General features: G+C 42.2%; 1 protein-coding gene across 56 annotated transcripts in view, besides 1 other annotated feature; it reads left to right on the top strand.

Annotated features, from left to right (window-relative positions):
- KCNMA1 (potassium calcium-activated channel subfamily M alpha 1) overlaps window positions 1-19,549 on the top strand; it is a 768,207-nt gene that overhangs the window by 619,215 nt on the left and 129,443 nt on the right. For 33 of the 56 annotated variants that reach the window (NM_001271518.2, XM_017016222.3, XM_024447990.2 and 30 more), the window contains one exon: window positions 6,551-6,627. In NM_001271518.2, the coding sequence (NP_001258447.1) occupies window positions 6,551-6,627 (77 nt within the window). Of the gene's footprint in view, window positions 1-6,036; window positions 6,396-6,550; window positions 6,628-10,400; window positions 16,143-17,013; window positions 17,188-19,549 lie in introns of those variants that run through there. The other 23 variants (XM_024447984.2, XM_005269781.3, XM_024447987.2 and 20 more) reach the window with 4 other exon arrangements.
- Window positions 10,377-10,436: an enhancer, noted in NCBI's record as "active region_3609". NCBI's record gives its function as "activates an Ori minimal core promoter by ATAC-STARR-seq in GM12878 lymphoblastoid cells {active_cell/tissue: GM12878}" and the evidence as "EXISTENCE:reporter gene assay evidence [ECO:0000049][PMID:35858748]".

The following is a 19,549-nucleotide window of genomic DNA, read 5'->3' as shown; positions in this document are numbered from 1 at the left end:
TGGGATTAATTTCAGATGGAATATGAAACTGGCTCTATTTCTATTTGTGGCCTCCTAGGTAAGTGGCTGAAGTTGTCAGCTTCAATTGTTAAGCCACTGTAAGTGCAGCACAGGATTTCACTGGCCTACATGTTTCATGACATTTTTATTCGTATCCTTAAACCTGTTTAAGCAGCCTAGGAATTCACAGGGCCCTTTGCAGCACAACATGGAATATTATTGTATTTGATTCTATCTTATGAACTTGGAGAAATTTACTAGCAGAAAATGTGATGCAAATGTTCAGACAGGTCATTCAGCTCAACAGTAATATTGCATAAAATATTTTAAGTACATTATTAATTGTGAAGGTCTATCATTAGTTATATAAGCCTATTGTCTTCATTGAATGAGTTCCTAGTCAAAGCCAGGCCTGTTCTAGGTGTGCTACATTCTTTATTGCTGCTCTTCAAAATAACCCTGGAAGGTAAGTCTTCTCAAACACTCAGAGCTTTGGTTTCCTCATCTGTAAAATCGAGATAAGTGATTTGTCCAAGGCCATGAGGCACATAAGTAAGTGGTGGAGCCCAGAGTGGAACTGGTCTTTCCTTTTCTAAAATCCACTCTCTTTCTACCAAATTTAATAATACTACCACATTCTTACAGAGGAGGGTTTATTACACCCCAGCACTATTCTAGGTACTAGGTTCTCTGTATCTAAAACTTGTTAAACTCTCACGCAACCCCATGAGATAGGTAGCATTACTCTTTCCCACTTTACATATGAGGAAACTGAGGCACAACTTGGCTAACTAACTTGCCCAAAGCCATACTGCTAGTGAGGAATAAAGCCAGGAAGTTGGAGCTTGCACTCTTAATTATTTGCCTAGGTTAAGCCTGATACGCTGAGCACAGAACGATGACATGTGACCGTGGATACTTAGGGTCCTCTTCCTCCCCATCCACTCTAGCAAACTAAGCCATACTGGCTACAGAAGCTTTTGGGAAAAAGAAAACATGGGCTGTTGGAAGGAAAAAGAATTCTTAAACTGAGTGCTCTAATAACTTAAATTTATTTCTGCAAATTGGGGAAAGATTGCCATGATTGAGTTGTGGGGGAAAAATACCTCCCTACTCAGTTCACAGAATCTCCCGGTTGTTCAAGAGTATCCTGAGAACTGGGTACACCTGAGAAGGGAAATTAGGATTAATGGGACTGAACCTTCCCTCTCCCTGTGCTCCAATCAGGTCTCCTGGAGAAGAAGCTTGTGCCCTTGTCCAGACTGTGAGACACAAAAGCTTGAAACAGCATCTCAGCACCAAGTACAGGAGGCTGGGGAGCACAGGAGAACCATATATCACGTATACCTCCCAGATAGCAAATATAACATGAAACTCCCATTTGTGTAATTCTATTTCCTATTGCATCTCTCACTAATGAATGTCACAAATATCAGGCCGTCCAAAAAACAAATTACCTCCTATATTAGGGAGTGCAATATGTCTCATTTCAGTGCTTTATGGTATTCACAAATACATGCTGACACAATCAGCTACAACACCAGGCTGTAATTTTCCATGGCATGTGATGTGTCAAAGCAAATGCTGTCAGTTAGGGGATCTCAAATAGATGAAGACTGCAAAAAACCACAGAAAGGACATTGGAGATTTGAATGAAACTAAACAAGCTTTGTAAAAATGGAAAAGTAGATTATGATGATCTCGTATCGAGTTTGCACCCTCCACTGCAAAAAAGCAACAAAAGAAGTTAATGAATTCTAGCTTGTAGAAACCTTCAGATGCAGTGTTTTAGTAAATGAGGAGTGAAACCATCCCACTGCAGTCTTAAGAAGGTCACTTGAGGATGGGCATTTGGGTACTTGCTCTTTCCTCCTTGCCACCAAATATTTTCCTTTTAAAATAACGTTGGAACATAGACTTTAATATAGGAGTCACAAAACGGTGGCTCAGTGACTCAGTTTGGCTTGCACATATGATCCTTTTGAGTCACAATTTTAAAATACAAATGAGTTGCCAAGGTGAAAAAAGTTACGAGCTTTTATATAAAAATCCTTATTACTCATTTCTCCTGAAAAATTGGCAGACCCAACAATACCGGGAAGCAGTCTCAAACTCACTCATTCATTCGCCCATCAAATGTGTATAAGTCGTTTACATTTAGAAGGCTCTATACAAGGCACCAGGGAAACAGTGGTGAAAAATGAACAATGGGGAGAAGTCCCAACTCTCGTGGGGCTCATATTCTAGGCAGGAAAGAATTACAGTTTTTTAAAAAATAATTAGTGGTAAAAGAATTAATGCAACTGGGTCACTGATTTGGGTTGGGTATAAGTGAAAGCTTCTCAGAGGGGTTGGTATTTGAGCAGAGATTGAGATGAAGGGAAATAATCCATCAGGCAGGGATCAGATAGGAAGAAGAGATGGGCTGGGAAGAAGTTCATTGTGGATAGGGACCCCAAGAAGGAAAGTGCGGCTAGGGAATAGATTTGGGGAGAGTGGTATGAGATGAGGTTAGAGAGAGGCAGAGGCTGGCTCCTAAAGCACTTTATAGAAAGGTTGGATCTGTTATAAAATGGAAGTCATTGATGGCTTTAAGCTGATCTGATGTATATTTTGAAAAGGTCATTCTTCCTGCATTGTAGAGAATGAGAGGAATGGGGCAGGAGAAGAGGTGAGAGACTCAGCGCCTATTGCATAGTTTAGGTGAGAGATGATGGCAGCTTGGACTGACCCCTGAGTGGAGGTGGAGAGAGGTGGGTTCCCATTCAGACTGTATTTGGGAGAGTGTGCAGAACCCCCCAATGAATTGGGCAGAAGTGAGGAAAAAAGAGGAATGAAGGATGAAGGCTAGAGTCAGGGCTTAGATTGTGTTGATCTTAACCAAGATGAGGGATACTAGAGAAGGAGCAAGTTTTGGGTAGTAGGAAGTTAAGCATTCTATCTGGGCTATGTTAGGTAGGAGATGTGTACTAAACATACACACAGTGATATCATAAGGCGGTTGGATCTTAGAGTCTGGAGTTCTGGGGATAAGTGTGAATTGGAGATGAATATGTAAATGTGGGTGCTGTTTCTTGTCCTGGCAAGAAACAGATGACAAACTTAAATGGGAAAAAGGAGGAGAGTTTTATGAAGAGACTGTAAAGTTATGGGCAAATAGTAAAGGAAAACCAACAAGGGATGGCCAAGCACTGCAGAGCTAGCAAGAAAGGGGAAGCCACCTTCACCCTAGATCTGTGGGGTCAAGGGGAAGGAGGGCTATCAGGAGCTGGAGAGAGAGGCTGTCGTGTGCCATTTCATAGACCTGTACAGGAGGGCACCCGGGGGGTCAAGGTGGTGACCTCATCCCCCCTCACCCTAGTCTCCTGCTGACTCCTTCCACTGGACACGCAGGCCAGGAAACCAGAGGACAAGGAGACCATACAGGCCAGCCTTGCAGGACACAAAGCTGGTCTGATGATGGGTGAAGCAAGATCACCAGCTGAAGGCTGCTTGTGGGAGGGGTACGGTGAGCTGGAGCAAGTGGAGAGGAGAGGAGAGAGAGCTGTTTTGGAGTGTGAGAAAGCAAGCAACAGGAGAATGGGGTAGATCCCAAAGAGTGGAAAAGGCCCCTGAAATCCATGGTTGTGGGTTTAAAGTGAGGTCAGCATGTTTTCTTTCCCAGCGAAACTCCGTTGCTCAGGTGCAGGTGTGCAGTAAGGGAGGGGCTTTGCGAGGTGAGCATGACAGAGGCAAAGATGGGTGGGGAAGAGAATGATTCTTGCAAAGAAATGCCACTTGGCAGAGGTCAGCTGAGCTTAGATACTCTGCCTGCTCCAGATCACCATGGACACCCCCGACCCTTGCCTCATTTCACTTATTAACCTTAATTGCCTAGCCTTGGAGGACATTATGCTTAGTGAAATAAGCCAGGCAAACATCGCATGTTCTTATTTACATGTGGAACCTACAAAAGTTAAACTCATAGAAGCAGAAAGTGGAATGGTGGTTAACAGGGGCTGGGGTTGGGAGGGATTGGGGAGATGTCCATCTAAAACATGAAATTTCAGTTAGACAGGTGGAATAAGTTCAAGAAATCTATTGTTCAATGTGGTGACTATAGTTAAAAATGAATTATATACCAGAAAATTGCAAAGACAGATTTTTTTTTTTTTTTTTTTGAGACAATGTCTTGCTCTATTGCCCAGGCTCCCAGGCTGGAGTGCAGTGGCACAATCTCGGCTCACTGCAACCTCCACCTCCTGGATTCAAGCGATTCTCCTGCCTCAGCCTCCCAAGGAGCTGGGATTACAGGTGCATGCCACCATGACTGGCTAATTTTTTTATTTTTAGTAGAGACAGGGTTTCACCATGTTGGCCAGGCTGGTCTCAAACTCCTGGCCTCGTGATCTATCCACATCAGCCTCCCAAAGTGTTGGATTACAGGCGTCAGCCGCCACACCCAGCCAAGACAGTAGATTTTAAGTGTTCGTACCACAAAAGGTGTGCTTCAGTTTCTTTATCTGTATAATGTATATGTTAATTAGCTTGATTCAACTATTCCACATTGTATATGTATTTCAATGTGTTGCATACCACACATATAATACAATTATTATTTGTCAATTAAAAATAAAAATTAAATTAAAAAAGAATCCAACTTTAGTTCATGAAGTAATCAAACTTTATCTTTTCACAAGTCTATTCAGGCTTATTATCATGTCATCATCTCTTTAGTATAGACCTTGGGCTCTGGTGCCAGGCTATGTGAATTCAATCTCAGCTTTGGTACTTTTAGCTGTGTGGCCTTGGGCAGGTCACTTAACTTCTCTGTGCTTCAGTTTCCTTATCTGTAAAATAGAAATAATAATCATACCTCCTTCAAAGGGTTGTTTGAGGATCAAATATGTTTAATGCTTATAAAATACTTAGAACCACACCTGACATGTAGTCTGTTCTCTATAGATGTTAGCTATATGATTGTTACCGTTATTATCATTATGTGTTAAGAGCAACAAAGGGGGAGGGAAAATGGCCAAAGGAAGTGGACGCAGAGTTACTTTCCCCAACTTGGATGCTTTCTACTTTCCTGTTCTTCCTGTGCCAAGGCAGATTGATTGGGTTCTTAGCCACATTGCCACTCAGGGTCAACAGTCAGCTAGGATTTCTTTTTATTTTTTTTTTAATTTTTTTGAGACATAGATGACAGCTGGCATTTAAAGAAAGAGTGGAGAATTTGCTAGGATAGAGCAAGCATTGGACTTGGATTCAGAAGTCCTGGGGCTGGCTGAATCCCAGCATGGAATGACTGGGCAGTCCACGACAACCTCCTCAGTTTACAGATGAGGACACTGAGTCCCAGAGATTTAGGCTGCAGGATCTCCAAGACCTCGTGTGGATCCAAAAGTCTTAACATTGGTTTCCAATGAGTGCCAATTATAAATCAAGTCCTGTGAAAACATAAAAAGGAACCTAAGAATCAAATGGTCAAGAATTGTGTTTATTTCTGCAGCCCTGGTCAAGAAAAGGCCATGTTCATAGCTGGCATTCAGTTTCCTGTTGGGAGTGGTAAAGGCAACAAGCCAGGGATTTTGTTAGTTCTTGGATCCAGAAGGTTGTAGGGTTGTTCCAGTGAATTTTATCACCTCCCCAGTACTGAAAGGGCACAGGCCTCTTGTGCTGTTCTAGGCACTGTGATTTCAAATAGTGCTTGAATGATCTTATTTTTCTTATCCAGAATATCTTTGACACAGCTAATGCACTGTGGAATCACCTATGGACATTCAAGTCAGATTAGGGGATTTTCTTTTTGAGTGCTTCATCTCATTCTCCTTCTACCTACCTATTGCTTCAATAAGCTCTACTCACCCCCTTCCAGTGGTCAGCTGAGCTTTGCTCCATAGTGAGAAGAAAACCATCATTTAGTGCATGTTCTCAGGGCTGGATAGCATGGGAATTGGTCCAGTCAGCTTTGGAGTAAAATAAGCTGTGAAACTCCAGAGGGGGTTTGACAGAGGAACCCACTGACTCGTGGCTTTCGTTTTTCCCTCTCTGCAGACCTCCTCAACTCTGTCTCCCTTTGGCTGCCCAGAAAAGGTGCTTTCAGAGTGACAAGCTTGATATTTTTATTTGACTGAGAAACGACATACTTCTGCCCCCTCAAATATATATTTGACCAGACTGTGGGAATTTTGGTGTTGTATTTAACTTCCCCACCAAGGGCCCAGGGCTCATTGCCCACATGTCCCCACGAGTAGCATCAAAGGCTGTTCTCAAAAATGAAAGACGAATGAGCAGACACAGTGTGTCACATCAGCAACTTTTTTCCCAGTTTCTTTGTAAATGGAAGTTTATGAAAAGGAGCACTAACTCAAATCACAGAATCCTGTGTTTGAAATAAATGGTCTTGCAACAAACATTTCCGTCTGCAAATGTCTAAACCTTTCAAAAGATTAAAGGAAATTAATGCTGGCGTGTTTCATTAATTTGGCACCACCGTGGAGGAAATGTGGTACTCATTTCATTTGGGTGGATTATGAAACGTGTCAGTTTTTCCATTCTCTTTCTCCAGGGCATTTTTTTACTGCAAGGCCTGTCATGATGACATCACAGATCCCAAAAGAATAAAAAAATGTGGCTGCAAACGGCGTAAGTAGTGTTTCTCTCCCTGTCCCCTCCCTTTCTCATTCCTATTCCCCAAATTCCTTTTCCTTCCCTTTTCTTATTAGAGAAACACTAAACATCGAGAGTTTTCTTGAGTATGTTTATGTTTCACCCAGCAGTTTAAAGAAATATGAAATAAATACCTGTCCTTGCTTTGTTAGAGCAGAGGATGAAAAATCACCACCATCAACACCTAGGAATGAAACCTGTGCCTAGTCCCTGCTTCTTTACTCTAGAGGTGCCTCAGTAGATGTGTCCAGTCTAACAGAGACAAGTATGATGTATAATAAGGAGGAGAACTAAAGCCACAGAGCACAAAGTGTTTTTGTATCGTGATTTCCAGTGGATTGGGGGTCCCTGAGTATATAGGGTTGAGAGAGAAACTAAATCTGAGGACTTGGTCTCCAAAATGGGAGTTGACTCTTTCCATTTGGAATTCCTGCTAGTTTTAATACCACAGGCCAGAGTTGGCAACTGTGATACCTTCAGACTGCCCCCAAGAAAAGAACTTTCCACTGCCAAAGGGCTTCAGTTGCCATCGTCCAAAGGTCGACCTCAAGCATCATCGCTCTTTGGGGTAGACTAGACTGGGCTCAGTTGTTTCTGGCATATTCTGTCTCAAGTCCCTTCTAAAGCAGTTTGCCACTGGGGCCTCTTGAGAAAGATATAGTGAGTCCAGAACGTGGAATTGTGAGCTCCTGAGATACCATGACTTAAGTGGTCTTTGCTTTGAGAAGGTTGTGCCTTTTGCAGTAATTATGCTGTATTGCCTAATAGAAATTGTTCTCAACCCTTGAAAAACAAACAAAAAATGATGCCATCCTTCCTATGGTGAGTTAGTCTTTTAAAAGCTCCTTATAATCATTGCTTTGATTCTCACCCTAACCCCATGTAATTGGCAGGGGTGTTATTAATCCCATTTTACAAAAAGAGGAAACTAAGCTTCCAAGTTTGAGAGGATGAGATTGCTGACAGTCACACAGCCAACATACAGGGATTTGGGCACACCTGAAGGCCTCTATTGATTCTCTGGGTGCTCTAACATTTTTTTGCAGAAGGGAAAGGCAATGTGGGCAGTCTTGGGTCTGATGAGTAAGAACAATTATGAAAGAGTACCCCATAAAATCCTTGTTCACAAGCAGAAGCCAGACAGAAGAGCACCATTCCTAAAGTATGCCACTGAAGGAAGGACCTTTTTCATTGTACTCCTAGAGTGGGGTACAGAAAATGTAGAACCAGTCATCTATAAATATCACTCTGCTGGAGGGTAAAGAAGTTCCTCAACCCATGGGGAAAATTCCCTTGGGGTGCACTCTTGGTCTAGAGAAGTTTCTGCAGAAATCCCCTCAGGGTGGGGCAGCTTAGGACCATGGGTTTCCTCCCCCTGTTTCCACTGACTTAATACAGCTGGTCCCCTTCCCCCAGACTCTTATCGAGATGAGTATTTATTGATATCTCAAAACAAGAGCCTCTAATTTCTTGGGACAAGAATTCCCCGATTCTGACAACCTACCGAGAAGAGCATCTAAGAGAGAACAAGGCCTAGAATGAACCTCACTCCCCATTCAACCCCCACAGACCCCATGAATCCAAAGACCTTCTTCACCAGGCAGTCCATCCCAGCCATGCTTAGTTGGTTGTGGACACAGCAGCACGGATGAGTTGACCAGACATCTCCTGAATCATTTCAATCAGAAGGAGCACAGCAGTCTGAGGGTTGAGGGAAATAAGAGAGAACAACAAATACAAGAGGTGAACACTTCTGTAAAGAAACGCTTGTAGTGAGGGGTTGGGAAAGGGAGGAAAGGTGAGGCCAATAACCCCTGACAGGATATTTGCCAGACCCTCATCCCACAGAGTATCAAGGAAATAGCAAGACTGTGATTCACATATTGATTAGCCGTTCACATATTTTTGAGTATCTTCTTTGGATGAGCTGCTATTTTTGGTTTCAGGGATGGAGTGGTCAACAAGGTAAAGTCCCTGCCCTCCTGAATCCTTTACTCTGGTGAATGGAGACAAACCATGATGATGTAAATAAATAAATTCAGAGATAGCCAGTGCTAAGAAGAGAGAAGAGACTGCCTGAGGGTTGAGGAATCCTGCAGTGGTGCTACTTTATAGCTTGGAAGGTCAGGAAGGCCTCAGTCAGGGGTGATGTTGAGGCCAAGACCCAATCCAGATAGGGAGACGAGCAAAGGTCAAGGTCAGGAGGCAGGAATAAGTTTGTGGTGTTTGAAGGATGGAAGAAAGGCCAGTGGCACTGGGGAAAGGGTAGTATGAGATGAGATTAGAGACGGAGACAGGGGACGTGGTAAGAAGTGTGGGTTTTAGTCCTATATTAGGAAGCCTTTGGAAGATTTTAAGTGAGGAAATGTCATCATTAGTTCTTAGTTTAAAAGATGTCCCTGGTGTCTGGATGGAGAGCATTCTCGGGAGGAAGGAGTGGAAGTGGAAGGATGAAGTGAGAACTTCTCTGACTCTTGCTCTGACATTGGAATGTCCCTCATAGGACGCCATAGTGGAACACAGCAGACTAAATTGTCCCTAGAAATAAGAAATAAGGATTTGGCCTCTAGGGTATTTTTCCACCTTGGTTCCAGACAGGTAAACAGCAGCAGGCTTTAGCTTCATCCTGGAGAGAGAGGCCCATAATTGTTTGAAATAATTTTCTTCTCTTCATTTCCTTTAAAGTTGGTGGAGCTAGTGAGGTATATAATCTCCCATTATGCACTGCACCAATTGCTGCAAAAGGCCTGCCTCTACAAAGCCAAGCCAGTGTAACAAGGGCCTCGCTTCCTTCTCTGTACATCCCTGTGCCTCCTCCCCCAACCTCAGCTTCTTCATCTCACAAAGGCCTTTGGCTATGTAACAATCAGAATTGTCTGAATATTGCTCCTACTAATTAAAAGGCCATAGAACAGAGGGCAGGATGCAGATGTGTGTGTGAGGTGAGGGGGTGGTTAGAATAAAATGAATTATTAAAAATAAACCTCCCCATGTAGGTCAGGCAAGTGAGGAAATTGGAGAAGATGTTTTAGTTGCAAAGAAACTTTAATTAGAAGAAACTAGGATTATTAGTAACACACTGGGGGGACCCCCATGCCTTCGAACAGACATTGCTTGGTTCCCTCTCTAAGTTGGAGAAGACAGCTGACCCACATACTCATCTGTCCAAACGTGTTAGTCCAGGTATTAATAATTCACCCTGGAATGGTAGATCCCATGAGGGCAGAGCTCATGACAGTCACTGGCCCTTACCCATAGCTTCCTAACCCTCCTTCCCCAACCCAGCCTTCCCCTTTCACTTCCACCCCTAGCTCCTCATTCACTTTCATTCAGTAACCTTCAACATTTCACGTCATCTCATCCGGAGAAATATCAGGTGCGGACATTCCATTTCTGGAAATCCTGTGATAGTATAGTTTAACGTTTGCATTTCTTTCCATTTCTTCATAGCTCTCTATCAAGGAAAAGAGTCAAATTCAGCTGTCTGGCCGAGGAGCAAGTTCTCAGGGTCTACTATTTACTCATTTTCTTTTTCTATATAACAAACCTTGTCTAATGATTTACATTTCTTCCCCCAGACTCTAAAAGTTTGCCAAAGTGTGGACTCCTAGTGGACAAGTAATGTCTAGTTTGATGTGTTTGAAGGAATTTTCTTTGACTTCAAATCATTGACATATCTTTGATTTATTTTTTTTCTCTTTGCTGCCTTGGAATACGGCCCCTACTCTATTTTAACTGCACACTGGTAGTGATATATTGTGAGTAAAACGGGTTCCCAGCAGCCCGGAGTCCAGTTCCCCCTGTCTTTCTCTAGAAGAGATACTCTTTTAATTTTCTGTACAGTTTTAGTTTCCCTTTTACTTTTGGTATTTATGTTGCATGTAGCAGTGACATCATGCCCCAACTCCTTCATCCCCCAATGCAGTCTACAGAGTAGCCTGGAGCCAGAGAGTCCCCAGGGAGCCTGCTCTCCATCCATCCACCCCAGTCCCCGGGCTCTGGCCAGCTTCGGGCACTGTCTTATTTTTCTATTTGAAAATAAGACCTTGACAACAGTGTGTTTCTCTTGAAGGCCTTGTCTCAGGACTTTTAAGGGACACTGATTAGGCTGAAGTAATTACCACTATAACTCCAGATGCTTCATCAGCTGGGGTAATTGTCATGCTTGCCTTTGATAAATTATACTTGGTCTCCTTTGTTATTGAGCTTGGATTCCTCTCCTAAAGGAAACACATATGCCACATATATATTCCCATGTTGTGATACATATATATATATATATATATATACACACACACAATATGTACCATGATGTATCAGAGTATATGTACATTCTTATATGTAAAAATTCATATTTTTACATATAAGAGTAGAGATATTCCATAGAGTGATGTATTTATTGCAGTACATGCTTCTCTGTATGAGAAGTGCTTGCTAGATAATTAATTGGTTACTCAACTTTGGGACTGTAAGTATCTCAATTGTCTTACTGGAGACAAGTATTTGCACAGTGGTAATTATTATCTGCAGTCTATGAAGTTCCCTTGCTTTACAACAAAGTTTTTCTTTTAGTCAGTACTCAGTAGGACACACCCAGTTGCTTTATGAATGTTAGTCAGACATCTTGGAAGATCCCTTTACCTGTTTAAGGCAGAAAAGCTGACTGGAGGAGAACATTCCATTTCAGCAATGAGCAATGTATAAGTCTGAACAAGTCAATACAAGTGTCTGAACCTCTAACTTACTCAAGGAATAGGATGCCCTTTTACTCAACAAGATGTGGCCATTGAGGAGGAGCTTTTAAGGCCAGCATTGAGCTTTGGGTCTTTATTCATGTTTGTAAGGCTCTACTGAAAAGGAGACCCAATCTGTGGAACAGTTCAGTCCAATGGCTCTGGAATTTGGAGAAGATGTTTCAAATTCAGTCCCCTCATTCCTTTGCAGCAAAAGAGGCAAGTTGATCATCTGATTTTGGTTAGTCATCAGTGTTTGGAGGGTATAGATTGCTCACTTTAAAAACAAAACACAATGATGACCTTCTTCAATTCAATGCACAGTCTTGCCAAAATCGACTCTGTGGCTTTCTTCATCGACAGAACCCTTTAAACATGGCTTGAGGGCATGGCCCACTTTCATACCTGCAGAGCTGCATACTAAATTGAATGGTCCTTCAGAATTGGAGAGAAAATGTGGTGTCAATCAACCAACAACTCTAGTGCCAAATACTTCTGCCTTCCTCAGCCACAATACAGTCATTAGGGGCAGAATCAACTAGCTCAGTGTGCTCTGTGCTGCTGACATTAACTAGCTTTTTCTTTCTCCTCTGTTTTTGGAAAACCACCTGGAAGACCTTTCTTCTTACTCCAGAAGGTAATGGGAGGAATTTTGCTAAGTGAAGACATCATTTCTCATTTATAGGACTTGAAAGAATATTCTCTGATTCCCAGTGCCACATCAAAGGCCTCACCTTAAATCCTGGTGGACTTTTTCTTCCGTGGATATTTTTATTAGTAACGTTAGTTGCTGCAGAGCCCATGAAGAGTAGCTCCATGTTTCTTGCTTGGAAATAATCCCTCCTTCATTTGACTGATTTTAAAAGTGAGGCTGTGACCTGAAAAGTATCTATTGATTGAATGGCAGATGTTTTTTTTCTTCCATCCCAGTCTTCCCTTGAATTTGCTCCATTTGAAATCTAAAACATTTTCCCCAGCAGTTGGAAAACTCCACCTGGGCCCCTCAGTCCAGTACTGCTTTTTCCTGCCTCTTCCAATCCACCCTGGAAATTAAGATTCTGCATTGGAAATTGGCTGACAATTTGGTTGCTGATGCAGGTGGCAGATGGTGCTGAGGATAGGATGGAATCCAATTCTTCCTTCCATTCCAGGCTTGGCTCAGAAAGGCCAGCCAGCAGAGAACCTGAGTTTGACAGCTGATTATCCATTTGACTCAAGGAAAGAGCAGTAACTGAGCTGCATCTTCACCAGCCACTTTCCAACAGGTTTCTGGTCTCATGATCATGGCCTTTGAGAATAGAGGAAAAGTTGTCCAAGAACACTTCTGAGAAGCCTTTTTGTTTTAAACACTCAAGAGTAAACAAATAGTTTTGATGATGTCCATTAGGGAAATACTTCTATTTTGTCTCTGTAAATAGTACTATGAAGTTATGATGGAAATGTTGGTTGAATATCCACTTCACTGTGGTGAAGAAAAGCACATAAAAGCTTTTTCTCAAATTGTGAAACTGCCAGGACCTAGGTCTTCGGAGGAAGGTGAGACTCAGGGTCAAATTCTTAGCAACCACATAACCTCATAGAATCCATGGCCCTGGTCCAATAACAAGAACCTTATGATGTGAACCAGAGGGTAAACTGAGTCCCTAGAGCCTTGTATTTCTGCTTTCCTAGAGTTAAGTTGGCCTATCGGGGCAGTTAATTGAGCATGAAGTTTCAAGAGCCCTAAGATGGAATGACAAGTAGCTTTGGTGTTCACACTTGCCAGAGACACACTCTTGTCTGCTCCCAGTCTCAGGAAGCTGCAGCAGGGCTTTAAAAAGGAGACGCAGTCAGCTGCCACTGAAATAGTCCTCCTGTGCCAGCTGTGGCTGCAGACCCTAGGCTCATCTCCTAGGACCTCTCACCCTTTCACTGCCCCTACCCCTAATCATCTGCTGTGGATCATGAGAAGCCATTGAATTGAAATGACACTGCATATATTTCAATTCTCAGAGACAGCAGGGTCCTCTTTCTGCTCCTTTTGGAGAAAGGCTAGTTCCAACTGCCCATGAACTAGCTGCTCTTCCACATTGATCCACTAGATGTCCTCATAGATCTACTTTGTATTACCATTGACATCCTGGGGAAAACCTTGTCTGAGAATTGGGATTTGGGAAGGGAACAATGGGTGACTACGTAAGAAAGAAAATTAGCAAACACCAAAGGAGAGAGGATGCTTTGTGTGGCCAGGGAGTAGATAAGAAACTTACTTCTGTTTGAAATAAATCCTGAAATTTTCAAAGTTGCACTTTGAGACCTAACCTTGGGAATTTAAAGTGGAACTCTTCATATCTAAAATTAACCTTCTAACCTAAATCAGCTCTAGAAAAGGAAACAGTCACTGAGAAATGGAAACAAAACACCAGTGGTTCTGAATATCCATGATTCACTGTAACAAAATTGAAGGGTTAGGAAGCCAGAGAGAGTTGAGAGAGATGAGGGGTGGTAATTTCCAAATTAGGAGGTCCATGACTTAACTTTGATATAATTTAATTTTACAACTTAAGAGTATAATTTTACACAGAGAGTGTTCAATTCTTCTGGAACATCTACCACCAGGGAGACAACTCCTCATCAGCTTTTAGTTAAAGAGTTTGTTCATGATTTGTATAATGGCCCAGAGGAGAGCTCTTCCTGGCCAGTACTCATATCCTTCAAGCCTGATGAATCGCTCCACCAGATGGGAGGTCTTACCTTTTAAGAAAGTGGACCCAGAAGTCTCTAGGTGAAGATACCTGACAGGGAGTCAATGGAAATGGACTATGCCAGCAGTAGCGAAAAAGAGCCACCTTCCCAGTTGGTGGCACCTTGATCTAGACATTCTGATTCATGAAGGTTTGTCAACATGTGGGGCTCAATAGTTTTTAACTGTTTCTGTCTTGTCTTTGAGCCTCTCATTGATCGTTCTTGCTGATTTTGTGTGTGTGTGTGTGTGTGTGTGTGTGTGTGTGTGTGTGGTGGCACTTGTTTGTCTTTTGAGATTTCTATTTTGCATTTGGTGTGAGTGTAAAAATGATTGGGAAGGAATGACAAGTAATAGCATGTTTTCTTTTTTATGCATATGCTGCTTTGGAATGTGACTGCTTATAATTAACAGTTAATCTTCTTATAGCACATGGTTTTTTGCTGCTTCGATTACCAGTTTCAGCCTGTTCCTGCATGCTAACAATAAGAAATTTTAGAACAATGCATGGTCGCCAGAACGGCTAACAATAACAGTTGCAAACAGTCCCTGAGAGCCACTGGTTTGTCACTGTGTTTCCTCCTGAACTCATATCAAGGAGGAGGTTTACATCACCCATTCTGATCTGTTTGCCTCTGAACAAATAGTTTCAAAAGTTATTTCATCCCCATCATCCCTCCCCTTATCCTTAAAGACGGTATATTTATAAGAACTTTCTTTCTCCACAAATGTGTCAGATTCTATTATTGTACATAAACCCAAAATGGCAGTATGGAAATGAAAACCAGGGACCGTTGCTAATGAGAAGCATAGCATTCCAGAGTTTGATGGGCTTCTCTTCTGCTACAGCATTTGATTAAAAAAATTGTTTTTCAAAATGATTTATCTACGGTGAAGCAAAAAAATCATCCTTGTTTCCCTCTTCTGTGTAAATAACAAATCAATATTTCCAGTAAAAGAAATAAGAAAGAGAAAACAAGGGAATGTCTGCAGATTGTATGCCAGATCCGGATGCATTTAAGATAAATTTATGTTCATGTCTTTAATTGAAGACTTTTTTCCCTTTCTTGACTTCAGCCGTTGCTGTTTGTTTGGGATGTCTGGGCATTCACACCATGCCTTCTAAATTCCTCTGATTCAAATGCTATAGTGGAACTTTTTTATTTTTTATTTTTTTTTGGTAAAAGCTAAAGCTCAAAGGAATGATATACCACCATTGAACAGGGCTGGGGCTGCATGATGATCTGAACAACAGACTAGCTAGGACACTAAAAGAACACGTCACTAAAAATGTGAGCCAAGTTTACAAGAATGGAGTTGCTGCTGAAGAGATCTCTCATTCATCTCCCCCAGTGCCTGTTCTTCACAATCATAACGTTACCCTTGCTTGACAAATATACTGTATGGCAAGTCATAAAGGTCTTAGAACAGGACTTGACCCATTTGAGAGATTTAAACCCCTCTTCCTGGTGACTGTAACATTCAAAGAGGGCAAAACCACAAGCCATATTTTAAAATAAGAGTGCAACCATTCTCTACAAAGAAAAAGAAAGAGTGGGGGAAATGACTTTCAAAATGGAAGGTGTGGGTGCAGGGAATAACACCTCCTCAGTTTAGGTTTACCATTTGGCAGTAATGCTTAGAATAAATGTGAATTCTTCTCCCACCTCGTGAGAGAAGCAGGCCAGTTCATGATAAGTGATAAGCAAACATGTTTGCCTGTTGTAGCATCAAAATGAGGTACAAAAACCTTCTCTTGTACTGAAATATAAATTGGCTTGAAAGGCAAAGGTGAAGGGCATTGGAAACTACGATGCTGACTTCCAACAACTTTTATAGGTTACCACTCAGTTTGGATCCCCAGGCAGTGCAGAACCTACCATACCAGCTTTAGAAGAGCTATCAATGCTGCATGCAAATTGCATTAAGATATTTCACGTGGAACCTATTCTTCTATTTCATGTTTTGTCAGTTTTAATCGATTTTGGCGAATATTTTCTGTATAAGGAAAAAAGAAATAATATGATTAACCAATAGCCTGATTGCTTCCTGAATTTCTATTTGGTGGGGAGAGAAAGGCAGATGCGATTTTCAGATCCTCTCAGCTTTAAGCAGAAAATACACCCATGAGTAGCTAAATGCATTCCAATAGAGCAACATCTCATATGCTTTTGGTGATTTCTTATTTGTGAACTGCCTTTAATGTCAAATCTGCAGCGTTAGTCTTGAGTAGCTGCATTTCTTATATGGACAGATTTGGATATTTGTTCTGTCAAGAGTAAATTTAAATTCCTGTAGCCATCATATAAACTCACTCTCGGGAAGTTCAGCAAAGGCATCCTTAGATACTGTATTAACACGTAATCGTTTCACATCTAATTTGATGAAAGCTTGTCCCAGCCTCTGCCTAATGCCCAGAAATGGATGGAAATTAGAAAGCCTACATATTAGATATTTTTGCATCTTGCAAAAACCATTTATTATACCAAATAAGCAGCTAATTTCATTGATTGGCAGTGTGTATATTTTGTCCTCCTGTATTAATCATATCAGGGGAAAAGTGTTGGTTACGTTTTTTGCTGTCGATAATTTGCTCTTCTTCCCATTTGAGAACCCGAGTGTATTCAGCCATGCCCTTTTCCTGTGGTCACCGCTTTACCTAGGGGAGAAAAATCATGTGCAACAGCCTTGGGAGACGATAAAGGCAATTTATATTTTCGCTGCTTTTTTGATGTACAACCAAACTGTTACCAACAATCACTCTGCATTTTTTTCTGGGTCAAGACTGTTAAAGTGAACTAAGACCTGTGTTAAATCCCTTCAGCTCCCTTCCAGCTGCCTTGCTGTGTGTGACCTTGCCATTAATTGCCGCTCTTCCTCTCCTCCCATCCAACCACACGGTTATAGCCAAGATGTCCATCTACAAGAGAATGAGACGGGCATGTTGTTTTGATTGCGGACGTTCTGAGCGTGACTGCTCATGCATGTCAGGCCGTGTGCGTGGTAACGTGGACACCCTTGAGAGAGCCTTCCCACTTTCTTCTGTCTCTGTTAATGATTGCTCCACCAGTTTCCGTGCCTGTAAGTTTAACCTCAACACACGTAGTTCCATGTTTGTGCTGTCTGTGGTATCATCCCTGTCTTGTGCTGTGCCCTGTGGTTCTGAGTCAGTCGGGCTGATGTCTTCTTCCCAGTGTGAACTCCTGTGTGCTGACATGTTGCCCCAGCTGCCTATGTCTCTGTGTACGTGCCTAGGAAGGCCTCCCTTCTGATTTTCTTAACTTACGCTTCTCGTAACAGCATGCAGGACTGTGATATTACAGTCTGGTGATATCTTTCCTCTCTCTCCTTTAAATAAATATAAATGGAAATTAAAGTGACAGCATATCACCTACTGTATTAATACAGAGATATGCAGAAGTGTACATGTTAATATTTTTGAAATGGCTGTAAATTGAATTGTATCAAAGGGAGGAAGGAAAGGGTGTAGCGAGAACAAGCCAGCTCTAGCATTGAATTGCTTTTAGTGAGCTTAGATAGTTTCTTAGATAGTTTCCAAAATACAACAGAGTTTTGATGCAGATGGATATATATATATATATATATATATATATATATATATATATATATTTTCTTTTTACTATGTCTCTCTAACCTGTGCCTCATTCCTCCAGTGCCAGATTTTGTCTTTTGTTCTGGAAACGAGTTTTCTATGTCTGTCAGCCTGCACTGGGCTAGTGGATTACAGAGCTTTTTCTCAGAATGATGACTATTTTGAAGGACTGTTCCATTAATATCTTTTATTTTTCCAATAGTATAGCCCCTGTTTAACTAAGGTATCTTGCAGCAATTGTGATTCCAAATGCCAACAAAAAATTTAAGTCAGAAACCTCTGTGATATCCCTGAGTCCATAGCACAGGCCTCTGATGTCAGTCTTCTTTGTCATCCACAAGCTCAGAGATGTTAAAGAACCTGTCAAGGCTATGCAGCTGGTAGCTGGCAAGGCTGAGATGTGCCAGTTTCCTGAGACCTCCCTTATCCTTGCTTCCCCATGGACTTTGCTGTTTTCCTGATACGGTTCATAAGTGAAGTTCCTGAAAGCTCCAGTTTGAGACCCTGGGACTGTGGGTCTTGGTCCAAGTGCAGAAAAGGCTGTGGTTCCACTGGAGGACTTTACTTGAAGTATAACTATAACTTTGTTTTCATGTTTTGGTAGCATAGAAGGTAGGAGATGGTTCTCGTTTCTGCACTTCCTCCCTTCCTCTTTAAAGCAGCCAACACATATATTGCTAACCTCTTGCTCCCTGTCCTCTCACCTTCCAAGTGCTCAGAGCTGGTTGAGCTACACTTTCCTAGCAGGGGTAGGTGTACACTGACGACAGGAGGAAGAAGATCACTGAGCTCTTAAGCATTTATTCCCATGGAAAATGAACTGGCTTGACTCCCCTGTGCTGGTGTTGAGGCTGGTCCCAGCAGAGTGCGGCTGTGTAGCCGGGATCCATGAGGCCTCTAGGGCTCAGGGAACCGGGACTTCACTGTGTGCCATGCCAGGTGCTTATGTTTGGGCCCAAAGTTCAAGTGCAAAGCATGATTTGTGCATCGAGCCATATTAGAGGCATTTGGAAAACTTTGATCTAGGACCAGAGAGTCATTCTCTCTGATTCACGATTTCCTGCTGCTCCAGAGCAGTGCCAAGGGACAGGATTCACTTCAAAGTAATACCTAATGGAGGTTGCATTGAGAGGGAGTGTGGACTGCCATATGGGCCTAAAATCTTGGAAAGATTTCTGTTACAATCCTTAGATGCTACCATATGAATCCTTATCACTTTATTTTCCCCTGAAGAGTTATCTGTAGTTTGCATGCCATTACAGAGATAAGCTAGGGCACAGCTGCACAGAGAACTTGTCTGTCTACGATGTGCAGCAAGACACCAAGTTCAAAGATAGGTGCTGGGGAGGAAGAGCAGAGGAGGGCCTGAGGTGGCATGAATTGGTCACATCTCTTTGACTGATGGTGGTGAAAGTAACCACAAGCCCCCGGGTTACTCTTCTGCCTAATGCACAACTTCTGTTCTCAAATAATCATGAGGCTCTAAAACCTTAGCCTAGACTCAGTGGAGAAAAGAAAGGAGCCACTCTGGCTCTGAGCTAGGGCCCCTTGGTCATGTCTTGGCACTGGCCAACAATACCAATCACAGCACACTCTGTGTCCCCCATGTAGACCCCATGGTGCCCAGTGTGTGTAATTTCCATTATATCCAAGAGAAATCTTAATTAGAGGGATTTCTCAGCTGTGCAATTTAATCCAACCATTGATGGAGACCAGGGAGAAGAAAACCTTGGGGTGGGATTGTCCCATTCTCTAAGAAACATTCTGTGAGTGGCATGTTGTCCCTCCCTTGCCTCCAAAATCAGCCCCCACCAGGGAACACGTGGAGCT

This window comes from Homo sapiens, chromosome 10 (genome assembly GCF_000001405.40).
Source record: "Homo sapiens chromosome 10, GRCh38.p14 Primary Assembly".
In the NCBI taxonomy this organism is placed as follows: Eukaryota; Metazoa; Chordata; class Mammalia; order Primates; family Hominidae; genus Homo; species Homo sapiens.
This window is presented reverse-complemented; position numbering and strand designations above follow the sequence as displayed.